The sequence below is a fragment of the Homo sapiens genome, chromosome 9 (assembly GCF_000001405.40).
Source record: "Homo sapiens chromosome 9, GRCh38.p14 Primary Assembly".
Lineage (NCBI taxonomy): Eukaryota > Metazoa > Chordata > Mammalia > Primates > Hominidae > Homo > Homo sapiens.
The window spans coordinates 102,236,371-102,259,958 of NC_000009.12; the positions used below are offsets into that span (position 1 = coordinate 102,236,371).

The window sequence follows — 23,588 nt, forward strand, 5'->3', positions numbered from 1 at the left end:
TTTTTTTTATAGTTTGTTTTAGTTTTTTTTTTTTTTTTTTTTTTTTTTTTAGACGGAGTTTCACTCTTCTTGCCCAGGCTGGAGTACAATGGTACAATCTTGGCTCACTGCAACCTCTGCCTCCCAAGTTCAAGCGATTCTCCTGCTTCAGCATCCGGAGTAGCTGTGATTACAAACGTGCCACTATACCCGGGTAATTTTGTATTTTTTAGTAGAAATGAGGTTTCTCCATGTTGGTCAGGCTGGTCTCGAACTCCCGATCTCAAGTGTCCTCCCACCTTGGCCTCCTAACTAGGATTACAGGTGTGAGTTTTTTTTTATAGTTTTTTATAGCTGCCTCCTGGGCTCAAACGATTCTCCTGCCTCAGCCTCTAGAGTAGCTGAGACTACAGGTGCACACCACCATGCTCAGCCAATTTTTTGTATTTTAGTAAAGACAGGGTTTCACCATGTTGCCCAGGCTGGTCTCAAACTCCTGAGCTCAGGCAATCTGAATTCCTTGGCCTCCCAAAATGCTAGGATTACAGGCATGAGCCACTGTGCCCAGCCTATTTATTTTATTTTTTACATATTTTTTACATATAGTTGTTAAAATGATTATCTTTACCCATTAAAACAGCCTTTTAGGGTTTATTTTCTCCTGGATTTTGGCAAGTTTCCTTAAATACTTAAGCTCAGTACTTAGCTTGAGACTAATGGGGGAACTATCCTGGGTGCTCTCTCTCTCTCTTTCTTTATTCCAGCTAGATCTATAGATTTGTCATTTCTGGTACTCTGCTCAGCAAACTGAGACCATTTTGGCCACCCCAAATTCTTAACACTTTTTTTCTTAGGCTCTGTTTGGGTTTCCTTTGCCTGCACTGCATCCTGGAAATGCTCCAGGAAGTGAGCTGAAACCACGATGGGTATTACCACATTTGTTTTCTTCTCATACAAGTTACACTTCTGCATTTCCTCCTGTCCAATATGTGCAAATTATTGCTTCACATATTTTGTTTAGTTTGCTTTTAGTAGTTTACTTGGGAAGGGTCAGTGTTACCCCATCATGGCAGAAAACAGAAGTGACCTAAAAAACAAAATTTATTATCAAATTGGTTTTATACCTAATGTTAAGATAATATGACACACTTTAAAATTCTTCCATGATTACGTACGTCCTCAGCCAAAAGACAAAATGGACGACCTATGGCTAACTGAGGTGCTGAAAGTTAAAACAAAAGTAGGCAGCCACAGCGAGGTGAGGGACTTCTCATGTACTCTGTTCTCAGAAAGGTGTAAAAGTGTAACAGGACCTCCCTTTCCACAGTCAGGCCAAACCACTGCCTCTTGTCTGTGGCAAGATAAACTACAGCCAGAAACACCTCCTCCCCTCACTCCCACACACAGGACCTTTGACAGAAACATCTTACAGTGACTTATGGTTTGGGGCTTAGAAACCAGGTTAGCAGAGCCTATTTAGAGAAATTAGAGCAGAACAAGTTTAACTTCTTCATTTGCATGGATGCACCTAATTGAGAATGAAGGCAAGAACTTTCCTTATTTAAGCCAGACCTTTCCTTTGTTCTTTGGTGAATACAATTTCACTTGTACTGAAGACTGTTTCTTCCCAATCTTCAGGTTAGTTTTTATAGAAAATAAAGCTCTACTTTTTTCCTCCACAGAGCTTATGGTCTTTTCTTAACATTTCTTGATGACGAGGATGGGATTTGAAGTGGCACCCTTGCTTTTTCCCAACACTATCTGGACCAATGCATTTGCACCTGCAAGAACCCCTTGAGCTCACTTATCTTCCTGGCTGCACCAGGGAGAAATGAGGTAAGGCCCCTTGGACCCAATATCTTTCTTTTGTTCTTAGGATGAGGTTTTTGGCACTTTATTATTTCAGTGATTCTTCCCACCCAGTTCCACAGATTACCCACTGATGGAGTATACCCACACTTTGTTGGGTACACTCACACTCTGGGCTACACTCATGCTATGTAGGGTGTGCTCACACTTCAGTTTTGTGAGGACACTTGCTCTTCAGTTGCACTCAAAGGGACTGCCTTCATAATATGAGTCTATTCCTGGGAGTACTTGTTTTTTTTTTTTTCAGGGGATTTTGGGATTGCGCCTTCCAGCCCTCTTCAGGAAACATCATCTGTAAAAATTTATTCTAAACCTAGAAAATTATACCCTTCACCTTCCATGAAGAGGCAGCTGGTTCAACTTGCAATTAAAATAAATCTCAAATTGTCTGCCTTGAGTGCCCTGAAAGATTGACAAAATAGCAATCCATCCTACAGTCTATAGGCTAAAATTCTGTGCTTTCCTGGCTGTGGCACAGGTTTGATTTCTGATCAAGGAACCAAACCCATTTTTTTAAAATTGTTTGTATGACTCTTGACCTTTTGGCATACCCTTTTGTTATTGATCCTATCCCTTTCCAATGGAAACTTTTGACTTCCAGTCTTTTCCATCTGAGGTGCATGTGGGGCTTTTGGGTCTTTAAGTATAGGTGCTCTGTGAGAAGCAGCTGGGCCCTAAACAACATGGCTGGACAGATGTCAGTTATATCCCATTTGAAACTACTAAGACTTTTCTCTCTTTGAACTCCCTTTGGGTGGTTCTAGATATTGCAAGGACTACTTTATAAATCTGTGGAGATGCCTAGTTCATCTTAGTTTTGTCATGACCTTTAGTTTGTCATGACGTTGGTTAAGATAATTCACTTGAAAAGATACTTTTGGTGTTTTTAAAAAAGCTACATAAAGTATTTATAAAATATAGGGCTGGGCACGATGGCTCACGCCTGTAATCCCAGCACTTTGGGAGGCTGAGGCAGGCGGATCATGAGGTCAGGAGTTCGCGGCCAGCCTGGCCAACATGGTGAAACCACATTTCTACTAAAAATACAAAAATTAGCCAGGTATGGTGGTGGGCGCCTGTAGTCCCAGCTACTCGGGAGGCAGGAGAATTGCTTGAACCCAGAAGGTGGAGGTTACAGTGAGTTGAGACTGTGACACTGCACTCCAGCCTAGGCAGCAGAGTGAGACTCCATCTCAAAAATATATGTGTGTATATGTATATTTATATATATACATATATATGTATATACGTATATATGCAGCCTATTTTAGCTGTGGGCCTATGTGTGTGTATATATACATATATACATGTATATGGATATACATGTATATATGTATTTACATATACATAATATATACATATATAAATACATATACACATATACGTGTATATATGGGTATATATGGGTATACATATATACACATACATATACACGTATACATGTATATATACATGTATACGTGTATATGTATGTGTATATATACATATGCGTATAACATGTATATGTGTATATACACGTATATATGTATACATGTATACACATGTATACATACGTATGTATATGTGCATATATAAATACATATATACATGTATACATACACACACACATATATAGGCCTGCAGCTAAAATAGGCTTACTTCTTTTGCAGAGCTATCCATGCAAAGTCCAGACATAAAAAAATGCTTTCTCCACCCTATTAAAGGGCTGCACCCTGAAATCTGTAATATAATCAAGAAATAAGCCAAGTTTAAAAGACGAGCTATCTAACTAAATTGGTCTCCAGTACTTTCTGGAATTTAGCTGGCTGTTTGGAAAGTCTTGGTAAGAAACAAACATTTTCATCTATAAAAATAATCTCCATTTGCAAGGACATCTCCCTCCCTGCACCTAAAGCACTAGAAACTATTGTTTTCATGTTTACATAAAAGACCTTAACTTTGTTTAAGATAGTTTTCCTGGCAATCTAGTCTTGATTGGACCTTGTCCTTGATTGTCTCAGCAAATAATGTGTTTGGATCTAAGGTCTGTGCCTTTGAAATGTAAAATTTCACCTAAGAAATCATGTTTTTGGAAATACAGATTGAGTTACCTTGCTAATAATCATTTAGAGCTGTATAGTCTACAAGGAGGAAAAAAAGCTACATGAAAGCTGGCGAATGAAAAATCTTGTAAGGCTATATGATCTGCTTCTTTGTACCTGCATGTCTATGTATTTATATGTGATTTGTGTATGTGATATTTCACTATTGAAATATATGAAAGAACTCTACTTGGCTTAAAGAAAATGTAAACACTTAAATATTTCACCAGGAAAATAGAAACTAACTCAAATGCCTTTAAGCTCAAATGACTTTGGTGATGTTTGGTAAATAAAACTACTTTAAAATTGTTGGCAAAATAAAATTAGAATGTCCTCAAAATTGTCAGTATTAAGTATAATTCAAGCATTTTGCCTGGACTTACTCATTATACAAGTTTAGGCTGCTTTTGATAGATGTTTTAAGGTCATAAAACTGTTGTTCCTGTACTATTTTTGATACTTGCTTTATTTATCTGTGAATTAAAGCTGTAAAGTTTCGCTGCTGGGCTCCTTCAAAGTCTTGCACACATCTTACTCAGTTTGTCTTTGAACAAGCCCATGAACTGTGGGGCCTAGACAGGTGGCCATGGTGGGACCTGGGGACATGTCTGAAGTACCTGGACCACCAGCTGCAAGGTAGAGTCAAGCCAATCAATCATCCCTGACCCAGCTTTGCCTCCTGAGCATGCTGAGTGAGGTTGGATCCTAAAGGTATCATCTTCATAGCCCTGTCCTCTATCCTAAGCTCTAAGCCTGGTATGTAAATTCAGAACCCTGACTGGACCTGCCCTTCATTATCACCTGTGGGTGCCACGTGGGTACATGAGACCCAGGACAATTGGAAATGGAATTAGAAAAGTTACCCATGTCATAGTTACAAAAGTATTTTTAGTAATTTAAAATCGTAAAGTGTGTTATGTCAAATTAACTAATAGATACTCATGAAATGTCAGAGTCATTTTTAAGTAAGTTTAAATATTGGAACACTAATTATTAAAGATAAGATGAATGAAGTTTATATATTTTGACATCTTATTTTTATATGGTATAGAAAAGCTAAATATATTTAGAACTGTTTGTTAATAAAACGTTGAAACTAAAATTCATGAAATGGTTTTAACCTACAAATACTGGTTAAAAAACAATTCAAAATTACTTACTTTCTAAGCTTTTTACTGGAAATAAGTGTAGCTAAGAGTTAAAATTGCAGTTCATATAAGTAACTAAAACTACTAGATACTAGAGAAACAGTTCACTTTACAGAACATATGAAGGAAAGTAGGAGCCATTTTTGGTAAACCAAGTTAAAAAGAGTAATATTTTTTCTTTTACATGAGGGAGAACTTTGTATGGTCAAAATGATGAGGGGAAAGTAGAGTACATTTTTGTCCTAAGGTAGAATGCCACACACACAAAAACTCAGAAGTATAAGACAAAAATAAGACAAAACTAAAGGTTTGAGTAAGTTGTAGAAGGTGTGTGAAAAATTAATGAAATGAATTTTGTGTGTGGTCAAGTTGGCTAAAATGGAAAGAAAATTATAAAATTACAAGTTTTCCTAAAAACTGAACATTAATATCAAAAGCACATTGATGCAGGGCTAGAGTGTGTGCCCCTGTGTTGAAACAAAAGGGTTTTCTTGAAGCATTAATTTGCCCTCTAATAGAAAATTGTGAAAAGTTTTTCTTTACCTTTGAGGTAACTGGCCTCTAAAACAGATTCCATTTTGTGCTTCATCATAATTTCTTGTGCTTTATACCTTTAAAATCTTTTGTAACTTTGGTTTTATTTCATAGTGATCTGTGATCCTATTGCCAACCAATACTTTACTTTAAACTTTTGATGTTTGACAAGCTTCCCAAAATTAAATTTCAAATTCCAAAATCAAGTCTTTTGGACATTAACTTAGTCATAACAGAAATACCCCAAAATCCAGGAGAGACATACTAAGCTTATTCATTGTGTTTAAATCATACAGGAAACGCTGTCAAATAGCAAAAAAGATATGTACCTTTCTTCAAGTTATATTCAAAGACAGAATCTTGCTCTGTCGCCTGGATGGAGTACAGTATTGCGATCTCGGCTCACCGCAACCTCCACCTCCCGGGTTCAAGCGATTCTCCTGCCTCAGCCTCCCAATTAGCTGGGAGTACAGGCACCCACCACCATACCCAGCTGATTTTTGTATTTTTAGTAGAGGCGGGGTTTCACCATGTTGGCCAGGAATGGTCTCAATCTCTGGACCTCGTGTCCCGCCAGCCTTGGCCTCCCAAAGCGCTGGGATTACAGGGGTGAGCCACTGTGCCCGGCCCTAAATGTATTGTTAATGTGAGTTCCAAAATTGTATGCTATATCTAAATTCATATTTATCTTGATATATATTATTTGCCATAATCATAGTTATTATATTAATGTCATATGCCACAGAAATAACCAAATGTTTTTGCTAATTGCATCTTTAACCATGGCTACTTTAAATTTTTCTCAACCACATTTATTTTCTTAAATCCTTTTCATACTAAGCCTAAGCACCTAGCTCCTCTTTAAAATTGTTTTATTTGCTTGAATAAATGTTTTACTAGTTTGCCAACATCAATTTGACTGCATACTTCCAGGTCTTATCCATAGACTTACCAGATGCCACTGAATAGCAGTAAGATACACTGAATTAAATCTAGCAGGTGCCTGCCCATCTTCTCACCTTACACTTGACCAAGTTGTTCAAACTGACCACATATCTCTCAGCCACATGAGTCCCACCAAGGGAATAGGTGGACCCAGTGCAGTTAGCCACATCATTCTGGCAACAGTATGGAACAAAAACATAAGTTGATCATCAACACTGCCTATGACAGGTTTCCACTAAAAAGGAGGAAAATTTACCTTGGCCAGTGGACAAAATGGACTCCCCATGGCTACTGAAATGCTCAAAGTTAAAACAGAACCTGGTTGCCATAGCCGGGTAAAGGAGTAGTCATATCCTCTTGTGTTCCCGGAAAGATGTAATAAAAGTGTAACAGGACCTCTGTTTCTACAATCTAGCCAAGCCATTTCTGTTGTCAGTGCTAAGACAAACTGTACTGCACCTGGAACCCCTCTCCCCTCAATCAGCTGACAGAAGGAAAAGAAACATCTAACAAAGAACATTTGTCAGAGATTTCTAGTTTTTCAGTTGGAAACCACGCAATCAAGGACTATTTCTACCAATCAAAATGACATAAGGTTGAATTCTTTATTTGCATAAACTGCCTGATTGAGGACTACCTATTTAAGCCAAACCTTCCCTTTGTTCTCCAGAGAGTACACTTTCTGTGCCTCTGAAGGCTGTCCCTCTCCAATCTGCAGATTTTTAAAATAATAGAAAATAAAGCTTTACCTTTTTTCCTTATGTATCTCATGGTCTTTCATTATCAGTTTTGTTTTTTAACTTATGAGTCTGGTTTGGTAATCAATTTCTTTTCCTAAAAAAGTAGTTAAATATGTTAATGTTGATTCACATGAAATTGTTTATATTATGTTGCTTTTAAGTAGCTAGCAAATCTCTAGTTATACCACCACTCTCACTAAGTTCTGAGATTTTGTGTTTGTTTCTTATTATTATCTTTGGTAGATTAAACAGGTTAGACGCTTGCTTATTCTATTGCTTGTCTCAAAGATATAGATTTTAGCTAATTTTATCTAATTGACTGTTCTTTTTTAAATCAATTTCTGCCTTTATCTTTATTGAGTGTTCCTCCAAAGTAGTTTTTGCTTGTTTTATTGTCCCCTTCTTTATTTCTTAAATGGTATGCTGAAATTAAGTTATTGCTTTTCTTTGTTATAGTGCCACCTATAGCTACAACCTTTCTGATTTGATATTAATTATTGTCATTCATTATTACTGCTTTCTAATAATCTGTATGGGTACTTTTGATCTGCTGTCTAATGAGAAAGTAATTTGCAAGTGGTATACTTTTGTTATTTTTTTTACAACTTTTATCAATGTTTTCTAAATTCTCAAATGTCAATAATTTTAAGATAAACCATCAATTTAATAATGGTTGTTTTGGAGGGAAATAATTAAATGTGATTCATACTCCAGTTTGAATGTAATTTTTCTTTATATTCTCTGATTAAAGAATCTTTTGAATCCTTTGGCCATCAAAGTTATGTACATTATCACATAAGACTTCCTTAAATCATGGCATTTAACAGGCAACCTTTTTTATAAAAAAGATACTTTATTTTAATTTCAATGCTGTATTACTAGAATATTTCAAAAGGCATTTTAAAGTAAAAATTCGTTGTCCAACTTTGGGTTTAAATTCACATCATGTATTGTTAGTTTACTATCACAAATACAACTGCATTGGAAAAGTCAGACTTAAAAAGTACAAGCAAATACTCTAAAAAGTACAATCAACTTTATTCTTATGCCTCTCCTTTCACCTATTCAAATAATTTTCTGGAAGCTATTTATTTCTATTCTTCCTTTTATGTGAAATGTAGAGCAAGTCTCATGTATGTCTTTTTTTACCTCCTTTTAGGCAATAAAAACCACTTCTGTTAAGAAAAATAAGCATTCTAATGTCATAGTCTACATTTAAAATTCATTCCATGTTTCTCTTCTCCCCTTCCTTAGATCTACTTAAAACAAGTCTCTTGGACTGAAAATATATAGTGTTCAAATTCCCCCGTCTCTAGTATCTTGGTTTCTCTCGTAAGGTTAAAACTGGAAAAGAGGAGGCTGTATCAGTGGGTAGGATCTTACCTCATGGTTTTGTTGGGGTGTTCAAGCATTGACTTCTTCGGGTTTGGCAGATGTTGAAAGTTTACTCTATTTTGGCTGATGGTTTCGTTATCAACCTCCTTCTCTTCCTCTCACTATGAAGTAAATGTATCTCCTCCAATTGGTAGCTCAAGCAGTTTTCTTGCCATCTATGCATTGGCAGTTCACCTCTAGCTTCTTTCTGCTGATGGCAGCTTCATCCCTCCAAGAAATTATAATGGGCACCATCTAAGTCAATTCCAGGACTATTCTTTCTCAGACTCAAATGAGAAATCAATTCCTTAAGATGTTACCTCTATCCGAAGCTCCAGGGTAAACATGTGAAATTCTGAGTGTGATTTTTTAACATCAATTTTCCCCTCCTAAGGTAGAAGAAAAGCATTCCTCATCTTAGACCATGGGAATTCTATGCACTCTGAAAGTCCTTTAAAATTTCCATCTCACCTTCTCCATCTACTTCATAAGCTAGATATCTGTGGTTAGTTAAGATCTCCAAATTAGTGTTCAGAACCTACACGATCATGTCCTGCTTTATTGACCATCAACTTCCCTTTGAAATTCTGAGAGAAGCTGGTACATTTTTCTTGGAGGCATAGCTGAAACAGAGATAGAGTTACATTTTAGCATTTTTATTAATATATTACTATTAGAGATATTTAAATTGAATAGATGACTATGTTAAGAGTTATTTTAAAACCATGTATAGTTCACAGATGTACAGGAATTGATCATTATCTCATGACTTGTACTTGTGTGGCAGCTACAAGTTTAAGACTCACCTTAATTTAGAAAATCTAAAATACAAAAATTTGTAGAATTCAGGATTGAAAAAATATGGCCATTTTAATTTCTATAATACTACAGTTAGACAATACAGCCTGAACAATTACTGTTTTGAAATTTATTGAGGTTGTCTATGTATTGCTTCCCAACAATTTTTACATTGTGGCATAAGAGTAAATTGCAATGATTATATGCTACACCAAGATGAACAGAGATGCGACTGTTCACCTACCTGCCTAGAGAGCTCAGGGAATCAATATTTGAACACATCTGTAACTCCTAAGTATTAGTTAGCAAGCTCTATTTTAATGTGTGATCAATTTCTGGAATACATCGTATTGGAAATGTTCATAATTTAATATATATGTCTTAACATTCTAAACATTCTCCAGCAGTGTTTCTTTTGCCTATTTGACCCTTCAAAGAAGGAAATGTGGGAAAGATTCCCATAGCTATTGCATGTAGGCCTATTTATTTATGTGTGCTAACGGTATTTTGCTTTCTGCTTTTCAAAGCTATGGTATTTCTTAATACTGATTCCTGATTCCTAGAATTTCCCTGTAAATTTTAACATTCAGCTATAAGCTATTGCATTCTAAGGGACAGCCCTTGAAACTGATTAGGAGAAATATCCATCAAATAGAGTTCCTTAACTTGGAAGTGCTGCAGTAAGTGGATGATATGTGAGTTGCCTACTTTGAAGAAGGCAGTGTTTTGGGCAGTATTTTGATAACTAATAGAGATTTTGGTATTTTTATGTATTAGTGTATTAGTTTCTTAGGGCTGCCATAATTAAATATCATGGCTTAAATAATTTTATTTTCTCACAGTTCTGGAGGCTGAAAATCCAAGATCAAGGTGTCACTGGGTTTGGTTTCTCCTTAATTCTCTTTTCTTTGCTTGCAGGTGGCTGCCTTTTCACTGTGTCTTCACATGACTTTTCATCTGTGTAAGAAAACCCCTGCATGTCTTTGTGTATTCAAATTTTCTTTTCTTATAAGGACAGCTGTCCTTAGATTGGATTAGGGCCCACTCTAATCAGCCTCGTTTTAACTTAATTACACTTTATACACCCTATTTCCAAATATAGTCACATTCTGAGGTACTGGGGCTTAGAGATTTAATATGAATTTTGGGGGAATACAATTCATCCCATAACAGTGAGGAAAACATTTTAGGGGACATAAAGTAGTCATTTACTATTATTATCAACCATTACTAATTTTCCGTCTAATAACAAGACCTTTCTCTCCTCGGAGGACCGCATTTCAGGCTTTATTAAGAGATCACCTCTATCTTCCCAAGAGTGGGCACATATCAAATATCTGGCCTATCGGAATACCAAATCTCTCTCGCTACAATGATTTCTTCTAGGTTAACACATTATTCAAGCTAAAATAGTGTGTGTCTTCATTGTGCCTTGTTAACTAGAACCATCAGGAAAGACAGTTCATTTAGAGAGATAAGTTTAGATTGTACATTGGCAATCAATAAGCACACACAAAACATTATAGATGTAACATGACAAAATTTTACTTTTTGCCCAAGTTACAGGTTCAAAAAAGTGAGATATTCTCTAGAGAATATTTTTTTATGTGATCACTCAGCAATCTATGGAGCTTTCCTTCATCAACAGGAAGCTACCATGCTTCCCACAACAAGGAAAATGAAGGCTAGAGGGATGTGTACTGAATTCTCCCTGCTTTAAACTGGAATTATTATTTCTCCTCACAGTCCATTGGCCAGAAATAGTCATATGGCCCCACTGCTACTAGAGGGCTGAGGATGTTGGGGAGCACATGGCTTTTGGATGAGAAATAAACATTTTTTCCACAAAGTTTATGAATAACATAAGGTGTAACTGCTGTATTTCATGGTTAAATGAATAAAGCAATTTTCATTAGGACACAATGAGGTCAACATGCAAAGAGAAGCAAAAATATGTAGAAAGGAAAGACTGAGGCTAAAGACCGTGGACCTTAGTTACTTTCTTTTAGTGTCTTAATTAGTGTTACCTTCTGAATAGAGCAGTTCTGTGAGCCAATAAAAATAATTATTATTATCAATATTATTTTATTGTTAGTTAAGTTTGCATCCAAAAGCAACTGGTAGAGGTCTACCTCATTCAATATACTGATATTATTATTATTATTATACATTATAATTATGTTTTATGTTTTTCTATTAAACTTAATTTGTGACACTTGCTTTGAATGTTTTATTCATATATTACAATGTTTTAAATTTAATATTTACCTTGTTTCAGGGCTTATCTCTCTTTTTTTGGAACATTCTCAATTTGTTATATATCTTTTGATTTAGTGAAACCTTCCTCATTCTCCATTTTGTGCTTCTGGTTTGGAAACAATGCATTTATTTTTATTAATGTAGTGAACACTATAAAGTCTTTTTTTAATTAAATAACTACAAAGAAGAAAATCAATTTCTTGATTTTTATATCTGAAAATGAAATGGCTCTAGAGTGTTTTAATCATTTTTCAGTTTCTACATTAATTTTGTAAAGTATTTTACTCATTTGAAGTTTTGTCATTATTTTAATTTACCTTATGCTTAGCATTTATTCAGAATGACCATGTTTGCAAATAACTCTACCCAGTTGTTTTTATGTTTATTCTTTTTCATATCACTCCTTTTCTTGATTCATGTTCCTAAATTCACCTGTAGTGTTGTAAACTACTTAAGTCTGAAAAATCTTATTTCACCTATACTCATTTCAGAAGTTTAGGCTGGGTGCGGTGGCTCACGCCTGTAATCCCAGCACTTTGGGGGGCCGAGGCGGGCGGATCACGAGGTCAGGAGATGGAGACCATCCTGGCTAACATGGTGAAACCCCGTCTCTACTAAAAAATAACAAAAAAATTAGTCAAGCATGGTGGCTGGCGCGTGTAGTCCCAGCTACTCCGGAGGCTGAGGCAGGAGAATGGCGTGAACCCGGGAGGCAGAGCTTGCAGTGAGCCAAGATGGTGCCACTGCACTCCAGCCTGGGCGACAGAGAGAGACTCCATCTCAGGGAAAAAAAAAAAAAAAAGTTTAACTAAGCTTAAGATTTTGGGTTGGGCCAGGCGCGGTGGCTCACGCCTGTAATCCCAGCACTTTGGTAGGCAGAGGCAGGCAGTTCGCGAGGTCAAGACATTGAGACTATCCGGGCCAACATGGTGAAACCCCGTCTCTACTACAAATAGAAAAATCAGCTGGGCGTGGTGGCGCACGCCCGTAGTCCCAGCTACTCGGGAGGCTGAGGCAGGAGAATCACTTGAAACCGGGAGGCAGAGGTTGCCATGAGCCGAGATCACGCCACTGCACTCCAGCCAAGTGACAGAGTGAGACTGTCTCAAACTAAAAAAAAAAAAAAAAAAAAAAAAAAAAAATTTAGGTTGATGGTGTTTTTACATTATTACTTTCTGATACTAACAGTTCTCTGCTTTTTTTAACCGTTCTCAGGTGCCAATGGGAGATTGTTATATACTATATAGCTAGTCAAAGTGGTAGGATTGGAAGCCATGTGTGTAATGTCACAATACCATACTGTACATGTTAAGCACATATGCCAGAGAATCGTAAGGATTCTTGGCCAAAAAGATCTAGATAGAAACTGAAGTCTATGCAGAAAAGTTAATAAAGCAAACCTAAGACTGCTATGTTTAGAAATGCCAGCTTGCAAGGTTAACCCTTGGCTGGCATCTGGAAACTTGGCTGGTAAACAGTTTCATACATTGATATAAAACTTACCCTAACTAATAAGAGTGGCTTGCTGTGCCTAAACTATTTGTACAATGTGGTTGATGGTAAAAACATGCTTTCTTTCTGGGAGTCTAGAACTTTGATACATGCTAGGCAGGTAATACCTACATAAGCAGACCCCAATAAAAGCCTTGGTCACCGAGTCTCTAATGGGCTTCCTTGGGCAGAAAATTCCCACAGCTGTTGCTGCATTTTTATTGCTGATTGAAGTGTGTGCTGTCTGTGACTGCTCATGGGAGGAAGAAAACATGAGACCTTTAAATGGACTCTTCCACATGTCTTTTTCTCTTATGATTCAGCTGTATATCTTTACTATAGCACATCGCTGTAATAAATCTTAGCCAAGAGTGTAGCTATATGGAAGGGTGTAACATTGTAGTTCAGTATAATAACAATAATTATTTCTTAGATAAGTATTGCGCTATACAAGCAAACATGAATTTTCTAATTTTAATGAGGATAATATCTTTTATCCAATAAGTTTATCATGAAGTCTACATAACATATGAACATGTTCTGTCATTTAATAGCTATAAATGAATTTTCCTTTTATTTCTCACAAGCAAGTCTATAAGACTAAAATTAATAAAAAAGTAAATAAAAATGAATTGTAGGGAAAAGTTCACTTGAAATACATGGAATTCCAATCAAGTTTTACAGGTTTGAAAGTGACTTTGGTGAAAGAAAAACAAAGTGTGTTATACATTGAGTAAGGAGGAATTCTATTTAAACAAAATATTCTTCAAAATATAAGGTTATAGTGATACAACGGAAATAGAAAAGGAGATCATAGTTACTGAATCTAAGGATACAAAGGAGATAGAAATGTAATAAAGTGGTGCTTATTCTAATCCCCAATGGTCTCTTTCTACAGGGGAAAGGCACATAAAATCACCAAAAACCAAATCAACCTCTCTCTCTCATTTCAAGGGAATTTATTGGTATTAATAGGACACATCGTACCCTCAGTAAAACAAAAATAAATTGTACACTGTGAGAATTAGGATCGCCTTAAAGATAAGTCAGTATACTTTCTCATTTATCATGTAAATGATGCTATATTTCTTCAAAGATGTACAACCTGTATAAACAAACTACTGATGCTATCATATTTGTCTTCCTTATTTATACCTACACTGAACTAGCAAGCATTTTCTTTAGGCATCTGTGGGGCTGAGTATTAACATTTGCTTAAATCAGTAAATGGATTAATTATGTAGTTTTTCTTGCCTAATGGTTGGCTGGTGTCAATAAATTCTTCTGTCTCTATTGCAAGATAAAGTTATTTTTGATTCCTGACTTAATGTGGAGAGGTCTCACATTAGTTTCTCCAATTTGCTAAGTTGAAATCCCACTCCGTAGTGGGATTGATGTCCAGGGAACTGCTAGGATTAAGGATTCAGAACACTTCCAGAGCAGCTCTGGCTTTGGTGTGCCCTTTTGCATTCTCGTTCAAGTTGTTAGGTTTATAGTACCGTTTTTGTTTTCCTTTAGGTTTGCTGAAGATTTTTGTTGTGGTGGTTGCTGTTGTTCATTGAAGACTTGCTTTATTTTCGTGAGAGCTCAATAATAGTTTTAAAAATGCATTCCTTCTAACTAAAATAATATTTGCATGTTTTACGGTAGGGGATCATATCAGAATATCTACCCTTTGTAAATTGGATTTGAATAGTCAGTAGAATTTTTAAAAATTATGTAGTAGTCAAACTTAAATTATTTTTAAAAAATTTTAAAATGAAATCTCCATTAAACACTGATGAAGCCCACATTACTTTTAAATTTAATTTTCAGATTTTCAGAATAATATATGAACAGCTTAAGAATCAAATATTTCTATTAAACTGATAAAAATAAAAAGTAAAGCATTAAAAACAGTGTCTCATCACCACTTATTTCTCAAGTCATGCTTCTCAGAGGTATCCAAACTCTTTAAACTTTAAGCTTTTCCATTCATTATTAACCTCCACACCTTAAAATACTATTTGTATCATTATTTCATGATTTATTAATTGTATAAATTAAACTTGACCTCTTACTATGGATGGTAAGGAATAGGCTTTCACAATAAGCTCCATTTTCAACAATCATGTTAAAGGTTTAATTTTGATTAAAACTATGTTCTGTATTTTCATTCTAATTTTGTAACTATTGTTTTGAGTACCTTAGATTTTATAAGTGTGTTTGCTGCCCTGGCACTTTAAATAAATAAGTGTTTTTAATCACTGGTGCTCTGAATTGTTATATTGAAGCACCAGAGATGATCAGGTTTGTGGATGGATTTCTAAAACAGATAATTCTGCGAAAGTCAAAGGAGAACAAAAAGAAGGATGTGGCTTGACATGTAAATTCTGTAGGGAAGGAAGATGATGAAGAAGCTCTTGATGCAGGAGAAAGCAAGAAAAGAAAGGAGGTGTCAGTTTGATAAAGGTTCACCATTTGCATAGGAGAGAATTAGATCTCATGAGCCAAGGCTAATCCGTTAGAATGAGCACTAGAATGGGTGAAAATAAAAAAAAGATAGAATGCTTAATTTCAACATTTTATATTCTTTATAAAGAACCTACTAGAATAACTGTTGTATGCCTACCTAATATGGTGATATAATACACACAAATATATGTGTATGTATGTGTGTATAAATATATACTATCAACAATATAATCTTCCTGTTTTTAAAATTGATGAGAGGCCAATAGAATTTTAATAACAAGTTCAAAAATAGATGAAGAAAATCAGGATACTCTTCGTTAATGGAAATAACTTTGGAGTGACTGAAAGAAATTTTTTTTTGTTTTTGTTATTGGTTTTGTTTTCTCCAGTTTCATTGGGTGTTTTGTGTGTTTTTGTTTGTATTTTTGTTTTGTGATATATAACTCCAAATGCTGCCCAAACAGGTTCAATTATGTTGAACAGAGGATATTTTCACCTCCCAATAATGGAATTGCGTGCACATCAAGATGATGGGAAATGGGGAAAGCCAAATTGCTTTGTATGATAAAGTGAGAAAAGTCTAAACCATTGAATAAGGACAGGGATCTGGGAGGGAGAGGAGGTGGGGAGCCAGGGGGGTGAGGTTCTGTATGGGAGGAGGGCAGATAATAGCCCTCAGAGATACAGCAGTGCTAAACAAGTCAAGAGAAAACAATCACAAAGATATGATCTGTAAAACGTTTGTGTGGAGATACACTATTCACTACTCACTCTCATTGTCACTCCTAAGGTATTTTTAGAAAAGCAACAATTTTTGTTTAATACAAATTAGATCTTCTAGACAAACTATAGGGAAGCAGGTGTCTGTATCTGAGTGGTTCTGAAACACTTCAATATTTTTACATTTCAGCCACAAACATATTTGCCCTTATATTTTTGTCATAAATATACATGTAGCATAAAATTTCCCATTTTCACAATTTTTCAGTGGCATTAATTATATTCAGAATGTTGTACAACCATCACCACCATCTATTTCTAAAGATTTTTATCGCCCCAAAAAGAAACTCTGCACACATTAAGCAATAATTCCTCAATCCTTTCCTCCACCATCTCCTGGTAACTTCTAATCTACTGCCAAAACAGTGTGATTTTGCTCCCCAGAAAATATTTGACAATGTCTTGAGACTCTGTTGGTTGTCACAGTGAGGGAATAGGGAGGTGCTACTGTCATCTTATTCCTGCAGGTAGCAGTATGCTCCATCTAATAGGATGCTGCTGCTTGAGGTCAAACCTTGAACTGTAACATTCAATCAGAGCCTTCCAAAGATCCGTCATTGTTCTCCATTATCAGCCCTAACAGAAAGAACATGGCCCAGAGCCACCTCATACAAGAAAGGGATCAGTGAACAAATTGTGGACGCACTTTCTTATCCTATAGGCGTACTGAATTTCCTAAATATTATCATCCCTAACCAGTAGATCACTGTGTTTGAGATTTTACTCTGGATCCTTCTGCCACACCCACATAGATAGACTGTGAGATGAAGAAGATACTGTGCCCTGTTGAAAAAAGGACTGATGACCAAAAATCAGTAGATAATCCCTTCCAGCAAACCATTAAAAATATTTTTGCATTATTCAAAGATTAAAACAGTAGAAATTATATTATCCTTTTACAAATAAGTAGGCATTTATTTATAGTTGTTATATATCCATTTATCGATTTCACTGTAATCTATTTCAGTTCCACTGAGGTCCACTAAAAATAACCTCTCCTGGCTGGCCTCCTCTGTCAACCATCTCACTGAGTGCTTTGGCTTGCCTAGTTCAGCCTCATCAAAGAAGGGAGACATCTTCAAGTGCAGCTTGCCTATCAAGGAGTTGATAGAAATGGCTTTAGGCGTTCCTACTATAGTCAAAGTATCCTTGGAAAAATTTAAGGACAAACACTCAACTTCTCCTTAATACTTAGTTATCTGGAAAATCACAATAAGGTCTTGTGTGTGGTCTAGGGACTTCACTGAGCAGAGAATGCAGTGCCACACACCACTCACATGCTGATTGAGCAAGATACAGGACACTCATGCTTTAAAAAACAGCCTCTTGATGGCATAATTCTTCATCTGGCTACAGAGCCCCAGCTCAAGCCCCAGCTGCAGGCCTACCCATTACGTTGCTTCTAGCCTCAAAATGCTTGGCTGTTAGTCTCTGAATCTTATCCCCAGGGTGAGTTTACTTGGGCCGTGGAAGCTTCCCAGGTGTGGGGTGCTGATAGGAAAGCCAGAAAGAGTAGGCTGTGCCAGTAGGAGCATCCTAAGCTTCAGGCTACAAGGAAAAGCTAGAAAAGGCTTGTAGTTTTAATAGCTGAGAAAGAGGATGCTAGGTATCTCAAGGTAGGAAAGCATATCTGTGGACAGAAAGGACTGTAGAATAGCCAAATCAGAGGGAAGGGCCACTCTACCTAGTTCAGTGAATGGCCTGAGACAACTGGAAGCAAGACCCTGCTAGTCCTGCCACAGTACACACAGGTTCCTTTTCAAAAGGAAAAAGGGAAGCAAAGATAAGGAGGTGTTTTCAATGGCTTTGTCCTCAGAACAAAGGCAAGAGGCAGGAAGGTCCATTACAAATAGACGTATCAGTACCAGCCCCTGTGCTAAGTCCAGGCCCAGATGAAATTGGGGCTGATATTGTAGACTCAGGATCCTGCAGCTCAGGGGCACATGCAAGGCTTTGAGCTGACTTTAGAAGAATAATACGGGCTTAGGCAGAGATATCTACCATGCCTGAAAAGACACGAGGAAAAACTCCACCTCCAGGCAGAGATTTTAAGTGAGAATTCCTGATTTCACACAGCTCCCTCCTATCCAGATGAAAGAAAAGTTTGGAAAAGTACAGCATCACACTACCATTAAAGATCAGAATGCAGGTCCTGAAGGCTAGAGTAATCTCAGCAGGGACAAGGGCTTCTGAAACCATAAGAGATGTTCCTTGTGTAAATCCACCAGATTCACTGATCAGTCCATCTGTCAGATTTACTCCCCTCCCACAGTCTCCTAGTTTGCTTCTGCAGGAGCCAAGATCTCCAACCTTGGACTGGAGAAACTGGGTTACTCAGTCTACTTTTCCCACTCGGCCAGGTTTTGTTTTGGGAGATATTTTGCAAGTAAGTCAGAAATCCAATAAGGAAAATCTCTAGCATCAAGATTTTTTTTTTCTAGAAAATGTAGAGATGACTCTGGAAGCTAACAGTGGTTGAGTAATTTTTTATAGTTTAAAGTCATTGAGATTTGTGCTAATTTGTTATACAGCAAACAACTATTACACCAAACACCCAAACAATTAAAACAAATCAAAACAAAACAACAGCTCATCCTTCTTCATTCCGCAACTCCTCTACATTTTGTATTTGTTAATATAATGGGAGATGCTTACTCAATTTATAATTCTTAAATGTTACTTTTTGAGTGGGCAATGAGTCAACCTTCAGTCATTCTGTTAAATTGTGTCCAGTGTAAACCATATTTGGCAGCTGATTTGGTTTGACTGTGTCCTCACCCAAATCTCATCCTAACTTGTAGTTTCCGTAATCCCCACATATCCTAGGAGGGACCTGGTGGGAGGTAATTGAATCATGGGGGTGGTTACCCTCATGCTGTTCTCGTGATAGTGAGTGAGTTCTTACAAGATCTGATGGTTTTATAAGGGGCTTTTCCCTCTTTGCTTTGCACTTCTCCTTGCTGCCACCATGTGAAGAAGAACGTGTTTACTTTCCCTTCCACCATGATTGTAAGTTCCCTGAGGCCTCCCCATCCGTGATGAATTGTGAGTCAATTAAATCTCTTCCCTTTATAAATTACCCAGTCTCAGGTATGTCTTTATTTGCAGCATGAGAAAAGACTAATACAGCAGCAATGCCTCAACATATTGACAGATTATTAATAATTTTATATAGTAACTGTGAAATCCTTAGTTCTTCTCGTTTTGCTTAAATTTGTTTGAATAGATTATTGAAGATTTTTGGCTTTTGTTTTGTTTAAGATGAACAGATTGTTGGACAATGTGCTGGAAAATACTTGTCCCTGAGTAAAGGAAGAGTCATTCTTAAAGAACCTCAATTAATCCTGATACAACATTCATTTTGTGTGTGTCTGTGTGTGGTTAGTGACAACACTTGAGGCCCACTCTCAGCAAATTTCACATACCCAATACGTTATTATTAACTACAATCACCATGCTGTTCATTAAGTCTCTAGTACTTATTCGTCTTATAATTAAAGGATTGCAATATTTTACCAATATCTTCCCTTTTCCTCAAGCCTAGCCCCTGGTAACTATCACTCTACTCTCTGTTACTCTGAGCTTAGCTTTTTGGTTTTTAGATTCTGCATAAAAGTGAGATCTTGCAGTATTTGTCTTCCTGTTTCTGGCATATTTTCACTTAGCATAACGTCTTCAAGGTTCATGCTAAGTTTGCAAATAGTGAAACTTCTTTTTAAGGCTGAATAATTATGTACTTTCATTGTATGTGTATACACACACATGCACACACACATATGTAGTGCTTGCTTCAGCAGCACATACAATAAAATTGGAACAATACAGAGAAGATTAGCATGGCTCCTGAGCAAGAATGACACTCTAATTCGTGAAGCATTCCATATTTCTTTTTTAAAAATCTATTTAAAAATTTTTAAAGTATATGCAAAGCACATTTTCTTTATCCATCCATCTGTCGACAGATAAGCACTTAGATTGTTCTCCTATCTTGGCCATTGTGAATAATGTTGTAATAAACATGGGAGTGCTGATATTTCCTCTACATCCTGACTTTAATTTTTTTGGAATGTATACCCAGAAGTGAGATTGCTGGATCATATGGTACTTCTATTTCAATTTTTGAAAAACTTCCATACTGGTATTTTTTTTAATTTTTATTTTTAATTTCAATAGGTTTTTGGGGAACAAAATAGTTTTTTTTTTCTCTTCCTGGCACTGGCTGCCAGAATTATCACTTATAGAGAGGCAATGTGATGATTGTGAAACTATCACCCAATCGCCTGACATTCCTGGTAGGTGGTGGGGTGGTGAGCCCCCTTTTGCCCTGCTCATGCCTGACTACCTATAACAGTTACATGGATAAGTTTTTCAGTGGTGATTTCTGAGACTTTGGTGCACCCATCACCTGAGCAGTGTATGCTGTACCCAGTGTATAGTCTTTTAGCCCTCATATCCCTTCCCACTGTTTCCCCCGAGTCCCCAAAGTCCATTGTATCATTCTTATGCCTTTGTGTCCTTATAGCTTAGCTCCCACTTATGAGTGAGAACATAGGATGTTTGGTTTTACATTCCTGAGTTACTTCATTTAGAATAATGGTCTCCAATTCAGTCCAGGTTGCTGTGAATGTCATAATTTTATTCCTTTTCATGGGTGAGTAGTATTCCATGGTGTGTGTGTGTGTGTGGCATTTTCTTTACTCATTGATGGGCATTTGGGCTGGTTCCATATTTTTGCAATTGCAAGTTGTGCAGCTATAAAATACATGTGCAAGTACCTTTTTGTATAATGACTTCTTTTCCACCTAGTAATGGAATGGCTGGATCAAATGTTAAGTCTACCATTAGTTCTTTAAGGAATCTCCACACTGTTTTCCAGAGTGGTCGTACTAGTTTACATCCCCACCAGCAATGTAAAAGTGTTCCCTTTTCACCACATCCATGCCAACATCTATTATTTTTTATTATGGCCACTCTTGCAGTAGTAACATGGTATCACATTGTAGTTTCGATTTGCATTACCCTGATAATTAGTATACTTTTTTAAATAATGGCTATACCAATTTACATTCCCACCAACAGTATATTAATACAAATGTTTCCTTTTTTCCATATCCTTACCAACATGGATCTTTTATCTTTTTGATGATAGACTGCCTAATAAGTGTGAGGTGATAGCTCATTGTGTATTTCTGCATTTGCATTCTTATGATGATTAATGATATTGAGCATCTTTACATATACCTGCTGGCCATTTGTATGTCTTTTTTTTTTTCTTTTTCCTGAGACAAAATCTCATGTTGCCACCCAGGCTAGAGTGCAGTAGCATGATCTCAGCTAACTGCAACCTCTTCCTCATGGTAGAGGTTCTCCTGTCTCAGCCTTCCAAGTAGCTGGGATTACAGGCGTGCACCACCATACCTGGCTAAATTTTGTATTTTTAGTAGAGATGGGGTTTTACCATGTTGGCAAGGCTGGTGTCAAATTCCTGGCCTCAAGTGATCTGCCTGCCTCAGCCTCCCAAAGTGCTGGGATTACAGGCATGAGCCATCATCACTCCCGGCCTGTATGTCTTCTTTTGAGAAAGGTCTATTTAGGTCCTTTGTCCATTTATAATCAGTTTGTTTTCTTGCTATTGAGTTGTGTAAGTTCCTTATTAACTCCTTATTGAAATCATGACTTACAAATGTTTTCTTTTGTTCTGTAGGTAACTTTTTCATTTTGTTAATTGCTACTTTTGCTATGCAGAAACTTTTTAGTTTGATGTTTTCCCACTTGTTTATTTTTGTTTGTGTTGTCTGATATTTTACTTTGGTATTCAAAATATTGCCAAAGACAATGTCAAGGAGATTTTCTCCTATGTTTTCTTCTAGGAGTTTTAAGGTTTCAGGCCTTATGTTTAATTCTTTAATCCATTTTGGGTTGATATTTGTGTACAGTGTAAGTGAAGCATCCAATTTTATTTTATTTTTGCATGTGGATTTCTAGTTTCCTCAACAATCATTTATTAAAAATTTTATCCTTTCCCTATTGTATATTCTTGATGCCTTTGTAAAAAGCTACTTGACTATATTTGCATGATTTTATTTCTGGGCTATCTATTCTGTTTCGTTGGCCAATGTGCCTAATTTCATGCCAGTACCATACTATTTTGATTACTACAACTTTGTAGCAGATTTTAAAAATAAGGTAGTGTGATGCCTCATGCTTTGTTCTTTTTGCTGAAGATTGATTTGGCTATTTGGAGTCTTTTGTGGTTATAGGAATTCTAGGACTGTATTTTCTATTTCTGTGTATTTTCATCTGGTAAAAAAAAGCTTTTAATGGTTTACTGACTGAGGACAATCCACCCCTTCTCAATCTAGAACCTGAAGACCGAATCCTCTGAGAACAACAGAGATACTTTCTTGCCATGTACACTCCAGCAAAAACTTCGGGACCTTGAACTTTGGGTTCATAATCTCACAACTGAGAAGGATTACTCCACACTCATAGAACTGCACACCCATTGGAACCCTTAAGGTGAAGCTAACCAGGGAATTTTCTCCCCAGAAGAAGAAGATATTCTTGATATGAACAGCTTTTCCCAAAATCATGGATCAAGATTTCTACTATTATAAGACTCTTATCTTTGAATATTTTTCCCTTGCTTATACCTCTATGAACAATAGAAGTGAAAAGAGGGTCTATTTTGTGCACATATGGGTATACCTTTATTTGTGAATAATTTTGCAGCCAGCCTTATACATAGATAAACTTATATCTTGATAGATGAAAGATGAAGGTGCAATGTAGGTGAGAAACCTTAATGGTATATACAGTGTCACATAGTTAGAAACAGAACATTGGTTCACTCCTCCTAACCCACATCATGAGTTAAAGAGAACATTGCCAGGAGGCCTTCACTCTTCTAGAAAGGCATCATTTGTTAGGTCCTTTTCTTTCAAGGTTTGGATTAAAAAAAAAAAAAAAAAAAAAAAAACGCAATGATTAGAAATGTATCCCTCATAATAGGCTCTATTGCAGACTCTACTATAAAGGCTGTGGTTACACGACAGACTTTAAATTCTCCTTTGAAATAAAATTGCTCTAGATTATAAACTGGCTAAACAGAGAAGTATCTGAGGAACTGCCAGCAC

The 23,588-nt window shown here is 36.5% G+C and overlaps 1 long non-coding RNA gene and 1 pseudogene across 2 annotated transcripts in view, besides 1 other annotated feature; both read left to right on the plus strand.

The window, feature by feature from the left end:
• Positions 1-23,338, plus strand: part of LOC105376188 (uncharacterized) — a 42,808-nt gene extending 19,470 nt beyond the window's left edge. The window contains exons 4-6 of one of the 2 annotated variants that reach the window (XR_930188.3): positions 53-193; positions 1,662-1,815; positions 10,387-11,683. This is a non-coding gene — a long non-coding RNA (uncharacterized LOC105376188). Of the gene's footprint in view, positions 1-52; positions 194-1,661; positions 1,816-10,386; positions 11,684-22,814 lie in introns of those variants that run through there. The other variant, XR_930189.2, reaches the window with a different exon arrangement.
• Positions 16,907-17,076: an enhancer, noted in NCBI's record as "experimental_104153 CRE fragment used in MPRA reporter constructs". NCBI's record gives its function as "activates a minimal promoter by MPRAs in K562 erythroleukemia cells, with activity observed for both the introgressed and non-introgressed 9:105015644 variant alleles {active_cell/tissue: K562}" and the evidence as "EXISTENCE:reporter gene assay evidence [ECO:0000049][PMID:34662402]".
• Positions 20,234-20,340, plus strand: RNU6-329P (RNA, U6 small nuclear 329, pseudogene; annotated as a pseudogene).
• Positions 23,339-23,588: the final 250 nt, after the last annotated feature.